This window comes from Homo sapiens, chromosome 12, assembly GCF_000001405.40.
Source record: "Homo sapiens chromosome 12, GRCh38.p14 Primary Assembly".
In the NCBI taxonomy this organism is placed as follows: domain Eukaryota; kingdom Metazoa; phylum Chordata; class Mammalia; order Primates; family Hominidae; genus Homo; species Homo sapiens.
In genome coordinates, this window is record NC_000012.12 from 116,181,068 (window position 1) to 116,200,072 (window position 19,005).

The 19,005-nt window shown below is 37.0% G+C and overlaps 1 protein-coding gene across 6 annotated transcripts in view, besides 2 other annotated features; it reads right to left on the bottom strand.

Annotated features, from left to right (window-relative positions):
• The window catches only part of MED13L (mediator complex subunit 13L), a 319,118-nt gene that overhangs the window by 222,492 nt on the left and 77,621 nt on the right, over window positions 1-19,005 (bottom strand). The window lies entirely within an intron of this gene.
• Window positions 16,117-16,411: an enhancer, noted in NCBI's record as "tiled region #4680; K562 Activating DNase matched - State 5:Enh". NCBI's record gives its function as "activates a minimal TATA promoter and a strong SV40 promoter by Sharpr-MPRA in K562 cells {active_cell/tissue: K562}" and the evidence as "EXISTENCE:reporter gene assay evidence [ECO:0000049][PMID:27701403]".
• Window positions 16,117-16,411: a silencer, noted in NCBI's record as "tiled region #4680; HepG2 Repressive non-DNase unmatched - State 23:Low". NCBI's record gives its function as "represses a minimal TATA promoter and a strong SV40 promoter by Sharpr-MPRA in HepG2 cells {active_cell/tissue: HepG2}" and the evidence as "EXISTENCE:reporter gene assay evidence [ECO:0000049][PMID:27701403]".

Consider the following 19,005-nt stretch of genomic DNA (forward strand, 5'->3'; position numbering starts at 1 on the left):
TTATAGGTACACGCCACCATGCTAGGCTAATTTTTGTATTTTCAGTAGAGACAGGGTTTCACCATGTTGGTCAGGCTGGTCTCAAACTCCTGACCTGGTGATCCGCCCACCTCAGCCTCCCAAAGTACAGGCATGAGCCACCGCACCCGGCAAAATGAGTTACTTCTTAAACAGAAAACAGTCCCCTCGAAATCTAACCTGTACACATCCTTTATAAATCATCTTTAAAAAAAAAAAAGTCGGCAATCCAAGTTTTACAAAAGAAACAATTATCATTCAAGTATTTAATCTTCTGTTCAAGAACACACAGGACATCGCCAAACCTAAATTTCCTTTGCATGCCAGCCAACTGGAATCTGGTACTGGCAAGTTACATAACAGGAATACATAACACTCTTTACTATCATCTCAATTATTTCTTTAAGGTGAATCAAAGTTTGTTTTTTTGTTTTGTTTTGAGACGGCATTTCACTCTTGTTGCCCAGGATGGAGTGCAATGGCGTGATCTCGGCTCACCGCAACCTCCACCTCCCGGGTTTAAGCAGTTCTCCTGTCTCAGCCTCCGGAGCAGCTGGGGTTACATGCCACCATGCCCGGCTAATTTTTTCTGTAGTTTTAGTAGAGACGGGGTTTCATCATATTGGTCAGGCTGGTTTCGAACTCCTGACCTTAGGTGATCTGCCCACCTCAGCCTCCCAAAGTCCTGGGATTACAGGCGTGAGCCACCACGCCCTGTCATGAATCAAAGTTTTAACTAATGATTGTGAGCTGCAACAAAATGGGAGAAACCTTAAGATTACATTTCTTCAAACTATGATTTTGTTTAAAATTGGAGCACTACAAGAATCTCACAACAAAATTTTCTTTTGATTGCTTGCTTAAACATACTCCAACTTCCAATGCTGAGACCTAAAACCATATTGCAAACTGCTGTTTCCATAGTGAAGTCTGTGGAACTGGAAAACTCCACAGGTCCAACCACCTTTCACTATTCTCCACTTGCCTCATGCCTTCTCCCTTTCAATTCTATTGCCAGTCATTGTAATCACTCCTGTGCACATGCCCCCACCTTCCTTGACCCTCTCTCATCTAAATCCAACTCACAACCTAATCTATGCCTGAACCTGTGCTGTTGAATATGGTTAGAAAAAAACCCAAACCCATTCAAACTGGTCTTACTTTAATAACCAAAACTCAAGTGGGCTCTTGACATCGTGCAGAAATCAAATCACACTTCCCTAAGCCCTTCCCTTAGCCACTCTCCTCCAAAACTAACCATTTTCTTAGGCATTCCCCACAAATCTCTGACACTTCTCCTATCTTTGGTCTCAACTGATGACCTTCCTTCCTTTTTCAATGACAGAAACCACTGAAAGAGAAATGCCACATTCCACATCTAACACCTATCAGCCTCTGTACTCCATACTCTCTCTTTTCTCTTACACTAGAGAAGATATATCCTTGCTGTTACCTGTTGCCAGTGCCCTACACTTCTGTACTGTTTCCCATTTGCTACAGCTTACTGAAGAACACTGCTCCAGCAATTCTACTCTCTCACTCTCTCTTTCTCTCTGACATGTCAATTTCTCACTCTCCACTGTATCAATACCAACACAAAACAAGTGAAAAAGTAGAAGGGTGATAAACTTGGAGACCCAAAGAACACAATTTGGAAACTAATGGACTCTAACATATATTACATGTTTACTCTCCCCACCCCAAAATCCTAGCCACAATTCAAGGACGCCCTCCCACCTCCCACCTGAAGTTCCTGCAGGACACTTCCAGAGCACTTTGATCACCCTGCTAACACACTGCTCTTCATGTGCTACACAAAGGTATGCAGCTTATCTCCCCTCTTGAGATTTTAAGCTACTTGAGGTGAAAGACTGTTTTAGTAACCACACAGCAGACAGGCAGTGAATGTTAATCAAAAGAAAGAATGAATGTATTTTTGCATGTATTTCTTAAGAGTTTACAAATTTGAAAAAAAAATGACCAAAAATTGCTTCGAGAAAAGCTGATTTAAATGTACCAAAGCCACATTTTAAAAGGATCAGAGAGAAATTTGAAAACAACGGGAGTCCAGAACTGACAGCAGTTTATAACAACTCCTTACCTGAGTCTAAAATACTGGGAAATAAATTCACAGTGGTTAAAGCTACTCTGCAGATTGTATGTGTGCCAAAACTTGAGTTTTACACAAACCATGCTGTGGCCAAATAAACAGTACAGTTTTCAATTCGAACATCACCTATGAGCAACTTCTTCAGTTCAGTGATGCTCAAATATCAGACTCATCAGCTACACTTGAAAAGGCAAATTTATAACGTCAATCTGTAAAACTGAGTTAAGGTATGAAAGAGTATTATAAAACATATCAAAGTAAAATGACTAGTATTACCAAGAATGACATCTGGTTTTAAAATATCAAATATCAAATTTCTGAATATCTCCTTATAAAATCCTAAACTGACAATTCTTAGCATCTATAAACAAACATGTATTTTGATACTAAGACCATTAAATCAACTTTGTATCACAAGCAAAACCCCCTTTAAGGTGAAATGTCATTTTTCAAAGACAAATATTTCAACATGCTCACAATATCTGTTTATTTTTAAAATTTCATAGAATTCAATGAAATTAGGTAGCACTGCATTTTTAGAGGCAAGCAGGGAAAAAATCAACATCAGATTATTTCCCTGAGTCATAAATTCTTGTGTAGAAAAAATGGTGTGTGTGTGTGTGTATGTGTGTGTGTGTGTGTGTGTGTAAAATGAGATTTTAAAAAAATGTGTGTATATATAGATAGTGGCTTCCCTGACAAATAGATGACTGTCTTTGAGATAATCAGGTTACAATGAAATTCTGAGGTTTGTACATTACACTTAGTGGAAGCCAGCAAAGCTCCAAATACAGTTTACAAACCACCATGCCAACCTCCCTTAAGCCTCATTTAAGAAGGATTACCACCTACAATCTATCCTCACTGTGCCACTGTTTCAGTGGTGAATCCAATGAACTGATTTTAAACAAACATGAGGTTTCAACAAATGTACTATTCATTAGCTACAGAGAACACAATGAAGAAGGCTACTTCAGAAAGGCAGAAACCCTCTGGTAAATTTGCCACAATCTTTAGTTAAACCTTAAACTTTAGGATAGTTACAATCAATCTACAGTAAATTCAGTGGATGATATTCTATTACAATATTAAATGAAAGCAGAAGTAAACTAGCAGTTACACAACATATATAGTATCCAAAATAAAGTTTTTTTAAGTGCATAAATGGAGACTATACTTTCAAGAAATGTGGAGTTTGTACAACAATGAAGAGAGGGATGTGTTTAGCTAAGTGGCAACTAGACAATGTCTCACTTTGAATCAAATCTGTCACTGAAATGAAGTTTTCCAGGAAACAATAAGAATAAAAAAACTTTAGGCTTGTTCAAAGAAACATAGCTTAAGAAAAAATTTTGTGGCAAATCCTCAAAATGCCAGTAAGGTAACAATAAATCATTTATCCAACCTAGAATGTGAACAGTCTACGGAGATGTCAATTATACCAGATCTCTAAGTTGCAGGTTTGAACTACTTTTCTGATGTCAAATATTCACCCCACTAAAATAAATTTTAAAAAATCAATAAAAGCCATTATTTTGATTTAAATCACATATCTAAAAACCATTAACTATTTATCACTTGAATTGGCATTCTCAGTTTTACAAGAGAACCAAAAGTCATTTCTATTAAAGTTTCAATATAGGTTATGGCTTATTTGACAATCACTACCAAATATTTATGACCTATGCCTGTTGGAAATAGTATTGTGCATGGTGGTGGAATTTTTCACAAGGATCCAGTGTTTGGGTTTCAAAAGAATACATTTAGAAATATATTCACAGGAAGTGTCTGTGTTAATGAATCATAGACATTCTAAGAAAATCCAGGCATCTAAAATGTTTGTTTCATACAGCAACAGACAGCAAACCACATATATTATATCCAAGATGTACACCAAGAAATTTTAACAAACATCTTTATTCTCAAAGCGCCTCATTTGATAAAAATTCGTAACTAGTAAAAATCAGGATTTATTTAATCAAGGTTTGAAAGACCACAAAATCTTTACTCACCTACAAAGTGGTCAGTAGAAAGCAATATTATTGGATAACCAAAAGAAAACCAAAAAGAAACACCTTTCTTATTTTTAAAAATATATACTAATTAGAATACGAATAACAAGACCTACTTGATCACTATAACACAAGTTCATTCTTTTTTTTTTTTAGTCTACATTTCAGAGGAGAGAGGACACGAATTCATTCTTGAAGTATAATTTCCAACACAAAATTTTACAAGACTCTAAAAGATCTTTGTAAGACTATAACTGCTATTAGGTAATACCTGACGAAAATCAACAGGACTGCTGACCATGACATTAACAACATGCAGAATCCAAAATTCCTTAGCATACTACTCAAAGCCCTCGGTAATCTGGTCTCATTTCACCTTATTGATCTATTTCCTGATACGGCACATTTAATTTCTTAGAAAAATATCAATTTTTTTCATCACATGCTTTTCTTTTCTTTTCTTTTCTTTTCTTTTCTTTTCTTTTCTTTTCTTTTCTTTTCTTTTCGAGATAAGAGTCTCGCTCTGTCACCCAGGCTGGAGTGCAGTGGCGCAATCTAGGCTCACTGCAACTTCCGCCTCCCTTCAAGCAATTCTCCTGCCTCAGCCTCCTGAGTAGCTGGGATTACAAGCATGCACCACCATGCCCAGCTAATTTGTTTGTATTTTTGGTAGACTCAGGGCTTCACCATGTTGCTCAGGCTGGTCTCGAACTCCTGACCTCATGATCTGCCCACTTCGGCCTCCCAAAGTGCTGGGATTACAGGCGTGAGCCACGGGCCCAGCCCATCATATGCTTTTCTTTCTCTATGCTTTTATTCATTCTATTCCCTTCTCCTGAAACAAATACGCTACCTCTTCGTTTCTGCATTTCATCATATACTTCTTTCAAACCTCATCATTTTGAAATACTACCTCCTCCTCAAAGCCTTCTCATTTCCCCAAAGCAGCAATAATTGCTGAATTAACATAGCATAGCTATAATTATTGCATAAAACATCATTTTATATATAGCATTTTATTTAGTTGTGTATCTTCATGTTTTCTCTATCCTACTTGACTGAGAACCCTGCAAACCGATCACATCTGCTGAATGAAAATAATCAACTGATTGAACGTAAAGTCAGAAGAGATTAGACATCAGATTTACAGAAAGAAGCAAAGTTTTCCTACACACACCACTGGGGGAGGGAGGGTGACAAAACACCTGAAGTTCTATACCTGCTTTTTCATTCCTGTTTAGGTGCTTTATTACACAGCAAACTTTTTTTTTCCAGGAATAATTTATTTAGATCCAGTAAGTTAGAAGCCTTAAAATATCATATTTAATTGTCACAGAAATCCTGAGGTAGGCATGTGACACTAAGTCCACTATACAGCCAAGGAAATTAAACCCCAACTGGTTAAGTAACCCATACAACATCTTTACAGTGAGGAAAGTGCAAAAGCTGGTACTAAAGTCCAAGCTTTGTGATACTTGGTTTACTGCTTTTGTTTCACTACACCACTCTGTCCCTGGACAAGCTGGAGCAAAAGGTCAAAACCTAAAACACAAAACAGGGTAGACACAGAAACACTGAAGAGCACAGATCCAATAATAACTTTTATAATTTCCTCTAGTTCTAAAAGTCCATATTTAATGTACCACTGTTGTTCCTCTCAACAGCAACCTAGAAAATGTGTTCCCAAGTCCACACTTTTCCATTCAAAATTCTTTCTATAACTAATCAAACCCATCTTTTCTACTGCTCTCCCAAACAAACCTTCAACTCCAAACAGCTGCTTCCTGCTATGCCGCACACAGCATGTTTATTAATACCCAATGCTTTGTACTCAGGCAGCTAGCACTTTCCTACCCACACTTGCCCCCATGTTTTTTGTTTTTGCCGAACTGCCTTAATGACTCCAGCTCACCGATTCCAGGCTATTACCTATAAAGTGAAATTTTGCATTTTATCATAGCTATAATGTGGGCTATTTTCTCTATGGAAGTCAATACAAAATAGTGGTTAAGACCAAGGACTATGGAGCCAGAGCCCCTCCTCTCTCACTTACGTGTTCTTTGGTTTGAGAGACTACTTGACCTCTCCATGCTTCAGTTTCCTGTCAATCAGCAGGAAATCATAGTATAGTCCCTACCTCACAGTAATGATAAAATGAGTTCATACATAAAAAGTGCTTTAAACAAAGCCTGACACACAAATAATGCTCCTATGTCAGTGTCTATCATTGTCATTTCTTCCAGTATCATGGTTTAATAGATCACCTCAGAACTATAAACTATCCCACAATGCTGGACACATATTGTTTTATGTAGAAGTTATATTTTAGTCATATGCTTTTAAGTCTTTCTCTGCAAAAGTTCAATTTATCAGGTTTTCTCTAACATGCTTATTTTATAATGTACAAGAGTATATCCTAAAATTATATTTCTATAATATAGAAGATATAACTATGCTAATCATAGGGGATGTATAGAAGTGAGTATCTGCTCTATTAAATCTGGAATCTGTACTGATCCAACTGTTCCATTTAATCAAATACCATGCAAACTATTAAGAGCTCCCTCTGACTTTAACAGCCGATTTCCCAGAGAAAGAGCAACTCGCTACTAAAAGATCTTAATAATACACAGGGCCTGGAGGGTACTGCTTTTTTTCTTTTTCTTTTATAAGTTAAAAAAAAAAAAAAAGGCTTTTCCTGTCAACAGAAATCAGTGAAAAGCCTCTTGAACACAGCAAGAAGGTAGGGTTGATTTTAGCCACAATGTAAGTCCCTGCAGAATTTCAGAGTGCCAACAACAGTGTCACTTTTCTCACTCATTCATTGGATTTATTTGTGGTTTTTCAGGACTACGATAATCTGTGCAACATTACTGGCTCCTCACCAGTATTACATTTTACATAACATAATTAACAAATTATTAAAAAAAAAAATCACTGTCATGTCACAGCTGCTATTATTAATCCTGAAAAGAAATTATAAACATAAAGGAATAAGTTAACTATATTATGGCTAACAAAACCAATTTTACATTTCTAAAACCATGTTTTTGAATAGTTTGAGCATAAGTATTCATGTAAAAAAGTACAGGGAAAGAAATCTACACCAAAATTAAAGGATACATTGAAGATCCTCAATTTTCAACAACTTACAAAGAATGAAAACAGTCACAGAAACAGAGTGATCTCAGTTCAAATTTTATATACCCAGCAATATATACAAATGCCAACAAGCTAGGTAAAACGGCAAATGAGTCCCTAGCTAGTAAGGGGAAAAGTAATTCACTTACATTAATTTTCAATTAAGTTTTAGTTTGTGTGAGATAGTCAGAGATTCACATGCAACTGTCAGAAATAATACCAAAAGATTCAGTGTACCCTTAACCCAGTTTTCCCAATGCTAACTCTTCCAAAACCGTAGTACAACATCACAACCAGCATATTGACACTGATATGGTCAAGATACAGACTATTTCCATCACAAGGATGCCTCATGTTCCCCTTTTATAGTTTCACCAACTTTCCTCCCACTTCCACCCCTCCTAAACCCCGACAACTACTAATTTTGCTGTATCTTTGTCATTTCAAGAACGTTACATAAATGGAATCATACACTATATAACCTTTGAGATTTTACTTTCCACTCAGCATCATTTTCTGGAGATTTATCCAGGTTACTGTATATCAAGACTTTGTTCCTTTTGTTACCCAGTAGTATTATATTGTATGGATATACAGTTTAACCTTTCATCTGCTGAAGGAGACCTGGGCTGTTTCCAGTTTAGGCTTTTACAAATAAAGCTGCTATAAACATTACGTATAGGTTTCTGCACAAACATACGTTTTCACTTCTCTGGGATAAATATCCAGGAATACAACTGCTAAATGATAGTTGGCATGTTTTGTTTTTTAAGAAACTCCAAACAGTTTTTATACACCCTCCAGCAACATCCTCTCCAGCATTTGGTGTTGTCACTAATTTTTCATTTTAGTCATTCTGTCAGGTGTGTAATGATAGTTCACTGTAGTTTTAAATGGCAATTTTGGTAAAAACTAATGATGCTGAACATCTTTTTATATGCTTACTTGCCATGTGTACATATCTCTTCGTATCTTTTGCCCATCTTCTAATTGGACTAGTTGGATTTTTTTTTAATACTTTGCGTTGAGAAATCTCTATATATACAAGTACTAGCTCTCTGTCAGACATGCGGTCTGCAAATATTTTTTCCCATTCTGTAGCCTATCTTTTCTTCCTCCCACAGGGGTTTCTTGCAGAACAAAAGCTTTAAATTTTGATAAAGTCCAACTTATCTTTTTATGGATTGTACTTTTGGTATCAGTTCTAAGAACTATAATCCTAGATGCCAAAGATTTCTTTTTCCCAAAAGTTTTATAGTTTACTTATTCCATTCAGTCTGTGATTTGTTTTGAATAAACTTTTGCATAAAGTTTGAGACAGGTCAGGAGACATTGTTTGGACTATGGATGTGCAACCACTCCAATAGCAATGGTTGAAAAGCTGTATGTAGTTTTTAGAGTTATAAGACCTTTGTCAGATTTAAACCTAAAGGGTTTTTTTGAGCAATTATAAATGGTTCTGTATTTTTAATTTTTGTGTACATATGGTCATTGCTAGTATACAGAAGTTCAATTGATTTTGTGTGTTTATTTTGTTGTACCCTGTGACCTTGCTGAACTCACTCATTAGTTCTAGATGTTTTTTTGGGGGGAGGGGAGAAGTTTAAATAGATTCCTTGGGATCTTCCATGTAAACAGTCATGTTATCTGGAAACTGGGACAGTTTTCTTTCTTTCTGATCTGTATGTCTTTTATTTCTTTTTTATGCCTTACTGCACTGGCTAGAACTTTGGTATTATATTGAATAAAAATGGCAAGAGTGGACATTCTTGTCCTGTTCCTGATCTTAGGAAGAAAATTATTCAGTTTTTCACCATTAAGAATAATCTTAGCTATAGGATTTTTGTAGATGCTCTTTCTCAAGTTTTACAGATACAAGTTTATCAAGTTCTCCCACTACAATTTTTCTGAGAGTTTTTAAAATCATGAATGGATGATTATGTTTGATAATCATCAATGGATTATTGTGTTTGATGGATTGTTATGGATTATTATGTTTGATGTTTGAACATGACCTTCTCAAAATTTGCAAAGGAAATTAATGAATTATTGCTTTGAAATAGTTTTCAAGTAGGTTCATTTTTGTTAAGTATGGAACTTGTGAATACAGAAAAATTGCTCACTACATCAAATCTGAATTAAAACACATTCCTCCTTATTATGCAACATATGCCTTACATCAACAGCTTCAAGCCCTATTTTTTTCAGGAAGCAATCCAAAACATTACCATTTAGGCAACCTGTCAAACAATCTCATACTTTTTGTTAAATCAATTAATCAAAACTAAGTACTCCTTTGCATTTCATGCTTTTAAAGGTTTACTTGTTTTAATTACAGTATAAATTGTGATGTACAAGTACTTTTTTAAAAACATGTGAAAACGATACAATTTGACCTTGTCAATCAAAGTATGAGACTTTCCTATCCTGGGATGCTTCTGTTGCTTACCTTGAGGACTGGGGCTGCACACAGTGGCTCATACCTGTAATCCCAGCACCGTGGGAGGCCAAGGCGGGTGGATCACCTGAGGTCAGAAGTTCGAGACCAGCCTGAGCAATATGGTGAAACCCCATCTCTACTAAAAATACAAAAATTAGTCGGGCGTGGTGGTGCGTGCCTGTAGTCCCAGCTACTCGGGATGCTGAGACAGAAGAAGTGCTTGAACCCAGGAGGCGGAGGTTGCAGTGAGCAGAGGTTGCACAACTGCACTCCAGCCTGGGCAAAAGAGCGAGACTCTGTCTCAAAAAAAAAAAAAAAAGAAAAGAAAAGAAAAGAAAATCACTGCTTGGTTCAGTCAAGGAACAGTAATTTCCAAATACTTCAGTATTTGGAATGTAACAGTAATGTCAAATACTTCAAACAAAATTCTACCTTCTAACTATTATTTATTTACAGTTTATTAAGTACATTGGTGCTCTCAAGGATCAGTACTGGGTAACAATAATCAAACTTTGAATTTAAACATGCATCTATTATTTGTGTTTTTTGTTTTTGTTTTTGAGGCAAAGTCTCACTCTGTCACCCAGGCTGGAGTGAAGCAGCCCAATCTTGGCTTACTGCAACCTCCACCCCCTGGGTTCAAGCAATTCTCCTGCCTCAGTCTACCTAGTGGCTGGGATTACAGGCGCCCGCCACCATGCCCAGGTAATTTTTGTGTTTTAGTAGAGATGGGGTTTCACCATGTTGGCCAGGCTGGTCTCAAACTCCTGACCTCAAGCAATCCACCCACCTCAGCCTCCCAAAGTGCTAGGATTACAGGCATGAGCCACAGCACCCAGCCACATGTATCTCTTTTTAACTATCAAATTAAAAAATTAGAATTTTTTTAAGAGCATAGAAATATGCGTTTTGCCAGGCCCGGTGGCTCACATCTATAATCTCAGCACTTTGGGAGGCCGAGATGGGAGGATCACTTGAGCCCAGGAGTTGGAGACCAGCCTGGGCAACACAGTGGGACTCCATCCCTAATTCATTAATTAATTAATTTAAAAATCTACATTTAATTAAAAAGTACTATAGCATCAAAAGTAAAAAAGGCAAATTATTTTCAAATCACCGAGGAACTATCAAAGGGAAGGCAAAGAAGAGAATACACACAAACTATTAATTTTTATTCTACCTAAAATGGTATTAATTATCTTAATGACAATAGAATGTAGTTAAAATGAGTGTGCTAAAATATTAATATCCAAATGCTAGGAAAGCAGATAATGGTTAAATTTTTTTAAGATTTAATGCCCACTAAAACAATTAAAAGAGAGCAATAAAATAAACTTTCAGGGCAACGGAAGGGTGGTGGCTTTTGCCTTTGTACAACCAGTGCCCTGGATCCACATCTCCCTTTCTATGAACAGACCCCATCCCTTATGTAGCCAAGCATTCTCTTGCCTCCCAAATGTCATGGCATGTATGTCAACATTTGAAAACTGCCAACATAGTTGGGGAAATTTAACTGTCTAATATCTGTTAGTTATATTTGTTTTGAAGAAAAATGTAACACAATTTCTAATTGCTTAATCTAAGAGAGTAAACACAGGAGAAAATAAATATGAATATAAATGCAAAAACAAAGCTAATAAGAAATGAAACTTAAAATCTCATTTAAACACATTTAATGAGAGAAATAAAATCTCAGTTAACAATATATACTTTATTAGTATAAAGGTTTTATTCTCTGTAACATCATAGGACTTATTCTAGGGATGCAGTGCATCCTTAAGTCACATTAGACATACCGGAAACATAAATATGTCAAAGTCTTTATACCAACCTACTCAGGAAGCTGGACAGTTCAAGACTCTTCCATTTCCAGGACAATAACAAGAACAATTTAAGGAATAATTAAAAAAACAACCCTGACCCTTATTTCTAATATTCCAATAATCCCAGCACTTTGGGAGGCCAAAGCAGGAAGACTGCTTTAGTTCAGCAGTTCAAGACCAGCCTGGGCAAGACAGGCAGACCCTGTCTCTACAAAAAATTTACAAATCAGGCAGGCATGGGCCGGGCGCCATGGCTCATGCCTGTAATCCCAGCACTTTGGAAGGCTGAGGCGGGCAGATCACCAGGTCAGGAAATCAAGACCATCCTGGCTAACACGGTGAAACCGCGTCTCTATTAAAAATACAAAAACTTACGCATGGTGGCACGTGCCTGTAGTCCCAGCTACTCAGGGGGCTGACAGAGGAAAATCGCCTGAACTGGGGAGGCGGAGGTTCGCAGTGAGCCGAGATCATGCCACTGCACTCCAGCCTGGGCAACAGAGCAAGACGCCTTCTCAAAAAGAAACAACAACAACAAAAAAAACAAAAATTAGGCAGGCATGGTAGCTCACTCCTGTAGTCACAGCTGCTTGGGAGGCTGAAGTGGGAGGATGGCTTGAGCCCAGGAGTTTGCAACTGCAGTGAGCTACGATCATGCCACTGCACTACAGCTTGGACAACAAAGCAAAATCCTGTCTTTAATAATTTTAAGTTTTTAACCTGAAGCTTATTTATTTTAGAAATAATCAAAAATATTTTTCAATGTAATAGAAGTACTATATTGTCCATGCTTTGTCTTAGGAACAAAACATCTAAACTTTAAACTCAAGCACAAATATCAACTGAGAATAGGTCTACATATTAACTTACTGTTTTAGAAGTACTTGAAATGTGAGTCATCTAATTATTTTTCGGTATTTCCAAAAAAATTCTCAAGTAGTTTATCTAAATGCATTGTCAAATCTGGTCAAGATGAAGATTTAGTGTAAAGTAGAAATCTCTCAGAAAAAAAAAACTCCTAATAATCACTAATACCTCGCTATTTTTGTTTAAAAAAAAAGGTAAGAATTTCTAATTACTAATAATCAGAGTCCCCAAAATCAAAGGAAAAAGCACAAAGAAATGAAAACCACATATCTGCTTCTCTAGAGAAAGGAAATCATCATGGGAATAGTAGGAGTCACAATCAAGAATCACATCCAGTCCAAAGAATGTAACTCACAAGTAAACCGATCACTGTACATCAGTCTCCTAAGAAATACCTTTATGAATGAACTCAATGAGAAGCTAGTCAAAGATTAAAGCTGATCAAAGTAGTTAGCAAAAAGACATTAACAAAGTTCAATTTCACTATTAAAAAGCTCCAATTAACTTTCCAGCCTTTCAGCAATTTACAAAACTTTACCAGAACCTAAATAAGTTTACTCAATCAGAATATTTCCTATCTCCAATTTTTAAAGATGTAGATGTAAATGACAAAAGAAGAGAAGATGACGGAAGGGTATTTAAAAAAACAAAAAACAAAAAAATAACCCTGTCTATACCCACACCCCTACTTCTTTTTTTCTTTTGAGACAGAGTTTCGCTCTTTTTGTCCAACCTGGAGTGCAATGGTGCAACCTCGGCTCGTCGCAACCTCCACCTCCTGGGTTTAAGCGATTCTCCTGCCTCAGCCTCCTGAGTAGCTGGGATTACAGACTTGCACCACCACGCCCAGCTAATTTTGTATTTTTAGTAGAGACAGGGTTTCTCCATGTTGGTCAGGCTGGTCTCAAACTCCCGACCTCAGGTGAGCCACCCACCTCCGCCTCCCAAAGTGCTGGGATTACAGGCATGAGCCACCACTCCCAGCCACCCCTACTTCTTTTTAAGTACAGGGTATTTCCTAATCATAGTAAAAATCATTCAGGACTACTTCATCTACAAATCCTCAATCCATCTGATCAAATTCACCTTAACCACATTCAAAAGCATCACGAAAATATTAAGCCCACAATGCTAAATAAACTTTGGCTGAACTGCATAAAGAGAAATATTTATATGTTCTAGAGAATATGAAAAGATTCACAAGATTGTTTAAAAAATCAAAAGCTTGTTAAAAATAAAATATGACTGAAATATAATAAGCTAGAAATAATTTTTTTAATTTACTGGAACTTCCAATCAAGATGGCATCATAAATTGCTTTGAAAACCCACCCTGTTTCAAATACAAAGCAACAACAGGCAAAATCCTGGAGAAGACATTTTAAAGACCTACCTAACTAAAAAAGACCAGCATCACCATGAAACAGAAATATGTAACAGAGAGTGGGCAGAAGGTATAGGGCTGCTAGGCTCTGGTTTCAGAAGGAACCAGTGAAGGCCTAGGTTTCAGATCCTATAGAAACAGGAATAAAAGTGGCCCACCTAAGATAAGGGACTGAGGCCGAAATTGGGCTGAAAACAAACTGCTACTAACAGCTGCCTGGGGGTAAGTAAGCTGTGTGGACTTTCAGGAAGTATGTCTTCTCAGAAACTGAGTGCCTAGGAAAGTGAGAATACTAGGGCTTCAGCCACACTATCCCACTGCCTGGCCAACTGGAACAAAGATGCAGGTGTATCTACCATCAGTGGGAGACAAGTGCCCTCTGCTGCCAATCTAAGACCTTGGTGGGGGTGGGGGCAACAGGGAGAAGCAGTTAAGAATACGTGCAAAACCACTAGAAGGGACTGTGGGGAGTGGGGGGACTTCCCAGTCAAAGCTGTACCATGACATAAAGAAAACGAATAAAAACACAGCAACTGAAATACAAAATCCCTTCAAACAAAATAGAAACAGAAAAGCCTGAAAATAGTATGCTTAAAATTTTTTTCTTTTTTTGAGATAGAGTCTGGCTCTGTCACCCAGGCTAGGGTAGCACAATCTCGGCTCACTGCAACCTCCGCCTCCCAGGTTCAAAGCGATTCTCCTGCCTCAGCTTCCCAAGTAGCTGAGATTACAGGTGTGCGCTACCACACCAGCTAATTTTTGTATTTTCAGTAGAGACAGGATTTTGCCATGTTGGCCAGGCTGGTCTTGAACTCCTGACCTCAAGCGATCCACCCACCTCAGCCTCCCAAAGTGCTGGGATTACAGGCGTGAGCCACTCTTTTACTCTTTATAAAAGAGTAAAATTTCTTTTATAAAGGGAAAAAAAATCACAACAAGCAGAAGTGAAACAAGGCTAGGTGGAAATGAAAAAGAATTTAAAAGCTAAAGAATGAATATTTTAACTCAAAGTAAGTTTTAAATAATTTTAAAATAAGCAATGGAAATGAAAAACTGAGTAAGAGATAAAATGTAAACAGTAAAAATTGAAAAGGAGTTAATAAACTAGAGAATAATAATGAAGAATTTAACTAGAAAGTTGCAGAGGCAAAGAAGTTTTAAAGATATATTATGGAGGCCAGAAAACAAGGTTCAATGATATATTTAACAGCAGTTTCAGAACAAGCAAAGAGGCAATGAGAAAAGAAAAAATTACACTGAATCATATATTATCCAGATCAACAACATAACAAAGAAAATTATAACCTAATGGATAATCTAACTTTCAAGTAGCAAGAAAAAAAATTACTGGTTGAACTCATCTAGCTTAATTTTTAAATTATATTTTTTACTGTTGACCTCACTTTAGAGGGCCAAATTGTGTACAGAATACATGCTACCCAAGAACACCACAGAGGTCCTCTGGGTGTTTCCACAGAGCAAAATTGAAAACAGGGCCAATAAGTAAGGTGCAATTAACAAAAAAAAAAAAAGTCTGACTGGCCCAGTCTTCGGCTTCGGCTGCAACTTAATAGTCCTTTAAATTCAGTTTCTAACACCCAGAGAAATGACACATGAGATAAGAGTGCTTTCTTTCCAAAACGGTGGCAATAAAACTTGTGATTGGGGTAGAAGAGTACTAGAATAGTAGATTACAGAATTGAGTAACAGGATTTCTTGTTAACTAAAACCAAATATACAATCAAAAAGCAAACCTACTGCCATCAACACAATTTATTCAATCAGAAGTATCTTTTAACCTTTCTCTCCAAATTTAAAATAAATAGAAAAGTAATAATGCTGATAATTTAGGCTGCATTTATATTATAAAATTTTAACTCTCTTTTTGGTGGTCCAGCTGTGTCTACATAGCTTAAGAATCTGATGGTTTTATCTAAACTAGTTAAGACATACAGCTGGTTAAAGTTTTGTGTATTTTAGGGGCACTATCAGATTAATAAAAGTGCATTAATTTTAGCATTAGACAGACATGTCTTCAAAATTTGAAGGCATTTATATCTAGTTATATACTTAGTAATTCTTTTTGATGGGAATACATATCAATGGGAATCTTTCAAAGATATATAGTAGTTTGAACAGTAACCATATTAAGTCTGAAAACACAAACAATAAGACAGAACATCAGTTCAGTGTCTCTCTCTCAAGACAAAGCATACTCTTTGCTGGTGATAAACAGCACACTCACTTTACTTTAGTCTAAGCCTCCACCCACATAATCCTTAAAATTATATTAAGCTCCGGTGGATGAAAATACAGCAGCAGTCCTGCAGCCTAACTGCAAAGATGAAACCGTGTACTCGGCTGAAGGGCTGGTCTCCCTAACTAGCACGGTTCAGTCAGCATCTATCTGACAGCACAAGATACACAGCACACGCTTTCTTTAGTTATCTGTACATGTCAGTAGGACTCTGGCCCACTGCCATAAGGAACTCTATCTCTGTTCTCTGCTTTATCTCGTTGTCCATTCTTCAGTCATTTAGCACAACCACTACTTTATTTTCATCAGTAAGATGTTCTTCTGGGACACAAATGGGAGCTCCAACTGCTTCAAAAGCAGTTACTTGGCCAGGCGTGGTGGCTCACCCCTGTAATCCCAGCATTTTGGGAGGCCGAGGCGGGCGGATCACCTGAGGTCAGGAGTTCAAGACCAGCCTGACCAACATGGAGAAACTCCATCTCTACTAAAAATACAAAATTAGCCGGACATGGTGGCGCATGCCTATAATTTCAGCTACTCGGGAGGCTGAGGCAGGAGAATCATTGAACCCAGGATTCGGAGGTTGTGGTGAGCAGAGATTGTGCCATTGCACTCCAGCCTGGGCAATAAGAGTGAAACTCCGTCTCAAAAAAAGAAAAAAAGGAAAAAAAAAAAGCAGTTACTCACCAGCTGCTAGCTAAAAATCATGAAAATTAGAAAGCAACTCTTTATGATTTTTTAATCAAAGTAGTGTAACATTTTAAATTGGCATTTATCACCCAGCAATCCATTTCTTTTGTAGAAAGCCAAAAGAATTTTAACATGTTCATATAAAAGCAAGAATTTCCATTGAAAAGAAATTTTTACAGAGAACACTTATTTAGCAAACACCTATGAATGCACAAAGTCATTAACAATAATACCATCAATAGTGCTTATGTATGGCAGATAACCAAAACATGATGTTATTTGTTACTTTCCTTCCACACACCAAGAACCCAATAATTTTTACTGCATATATTACATATTTTAAGTACCAGAGAACTACAATGTAAAAAAAAATTCTTTTTAAAATATTTCATCTTTTCCTCCTGCTTAGGTCTCAACTGTACCATCCATCTTATATCACAAGCTGTCCTCACCCTACCTTTTTCTCCCCTGCTGACACAAAATTCTATTTCAAGCAACCCAAGGGTATTCAACATATCCCACACACATATCACATACTTTAAAAAAAATTTTTTTTCATGCCTTTCTTGTGTTTCCTGCTTAGAGTACCTTTTCCTTCCTTCTTTCCTGGTGAAATCTAACTCTTCTGTAAAGGCAGTAGTGCCGCCTACATTTGCAATACTTTCATCAATCCCAAACTGAATAAATTGCTGTCTCTTCTCTGACCCCCTACAGAAGTTTAGATGTGCCTCTTCACTGAGACTTCTCTGACAACTCCACTCATGGGGTCAAAGGAGCACAGTGTTTCTCCTGGGAAGCACTGCATCCTGACTATCAGTTAATGTTGCCATAACTTAACAGTTTTATAATTACATCTTTCTTAGTGTCCATCATCCTGCCTCTAACACCTCCCCTAGACTAAGAGCGCCATAAAGAAAGGGATCCAAGAAATTCCTCTTACAGATCTTATGACTTGCCCTCCACATAGTAAGCATGCAAAACCTATTTGATGAATAATAATAACACTGAATGGACACTCTTTAGGAGAAATAGTAAAATGAATTACAGCTGCAGCTTTGGAAAAAGATATAGATGCTAAGGAACCTAAGTCATTAAGTCTTAGTACATCAGAGTACAATTACACAAAGTTAATGTCTCCTGCTGCCTCTCTTTAAGGCCTGATTCCCACCCTCTCTGCCCCTAGGAACCACTAAAGTTTCTATGTCTACAGGTGGGCACACTGATTAGGGACTATAAAGTAGAGGTTACTATCTGACCCATTTAGAGAAAAAGTTACCATGTTCTTATTTGCTTGTTCTTTCTCCTTGCTCTGGGAATCTAATACTAGCCACCTCTGTGATTCCCTTTCCATTCTGGTCCCATTTTTTTTATCTTGTCTCTTCCATCTTCTGTCCAATATCAGTTTTTGCATGAGAGAGGTAGGCTATTTTATACAGTACTAGTCAGTCAGAGAAACACATTTTATTCTATGCAGTAAAGCAAGCTTTGATTTTAAGAGACTATGTAAACCCAATCTCAGCCATTTCTGCTTAAGAAAATCAAAAAGAGAGTTTACACAAAAGTGATACAGCACACTTCACGCACACTTTATTTTTATGTCAAATAGCTTCCTATTGCAATATCCTCATCTGCAAGAAACACTAAGTCCTTATTTAGGAATACTAAATTGTGTCACCCTTGAGGCTTATGCAAGCTTATCATCTGACTTTTAAACATTTTCTATCTCTTAGAAAATACTCTGATCAAATGCCTAGGTTTCTACTTTCAGTAAGCATGTAAAAGCATTAGCACTGATTGCCCTAAAGCACTTTCAGAAAAACAGTTCCCATTTGGTTAAACAGTCATCAAATTTTAAGACCAGGAATCCATACTTTTTAAATGCTACTTTTTTTTTTTAATTCAAACCTATATCAGGAAAAATCATTTTTTGGTCCAGTATCAAAATCTAATCTCCACCCCTCAAGAAATAAAGAAATCTATCTGCCTTAACACCATACTTCCAACATTTAAGAAGCCAATCAATTACAACTAATACCTTTATACACTAAAGAGCATCAGTCAGAAGGACAAATTTTCTCAGGAAAATAATTTCAAGTTCAAGGTTATATGAGCATTTTGGACGTCATACTGTTTTCCACGAAATATAATTTAAATCAGCAGAGAGCCAAAATACATTGTCATGGTTGAAATAAAAGGAGGAAAAGTCCGGGCGCCATGGCTCATGCCTGTAATCCTAGCACTCTGGATGGCCAAGGCAGGAGGAT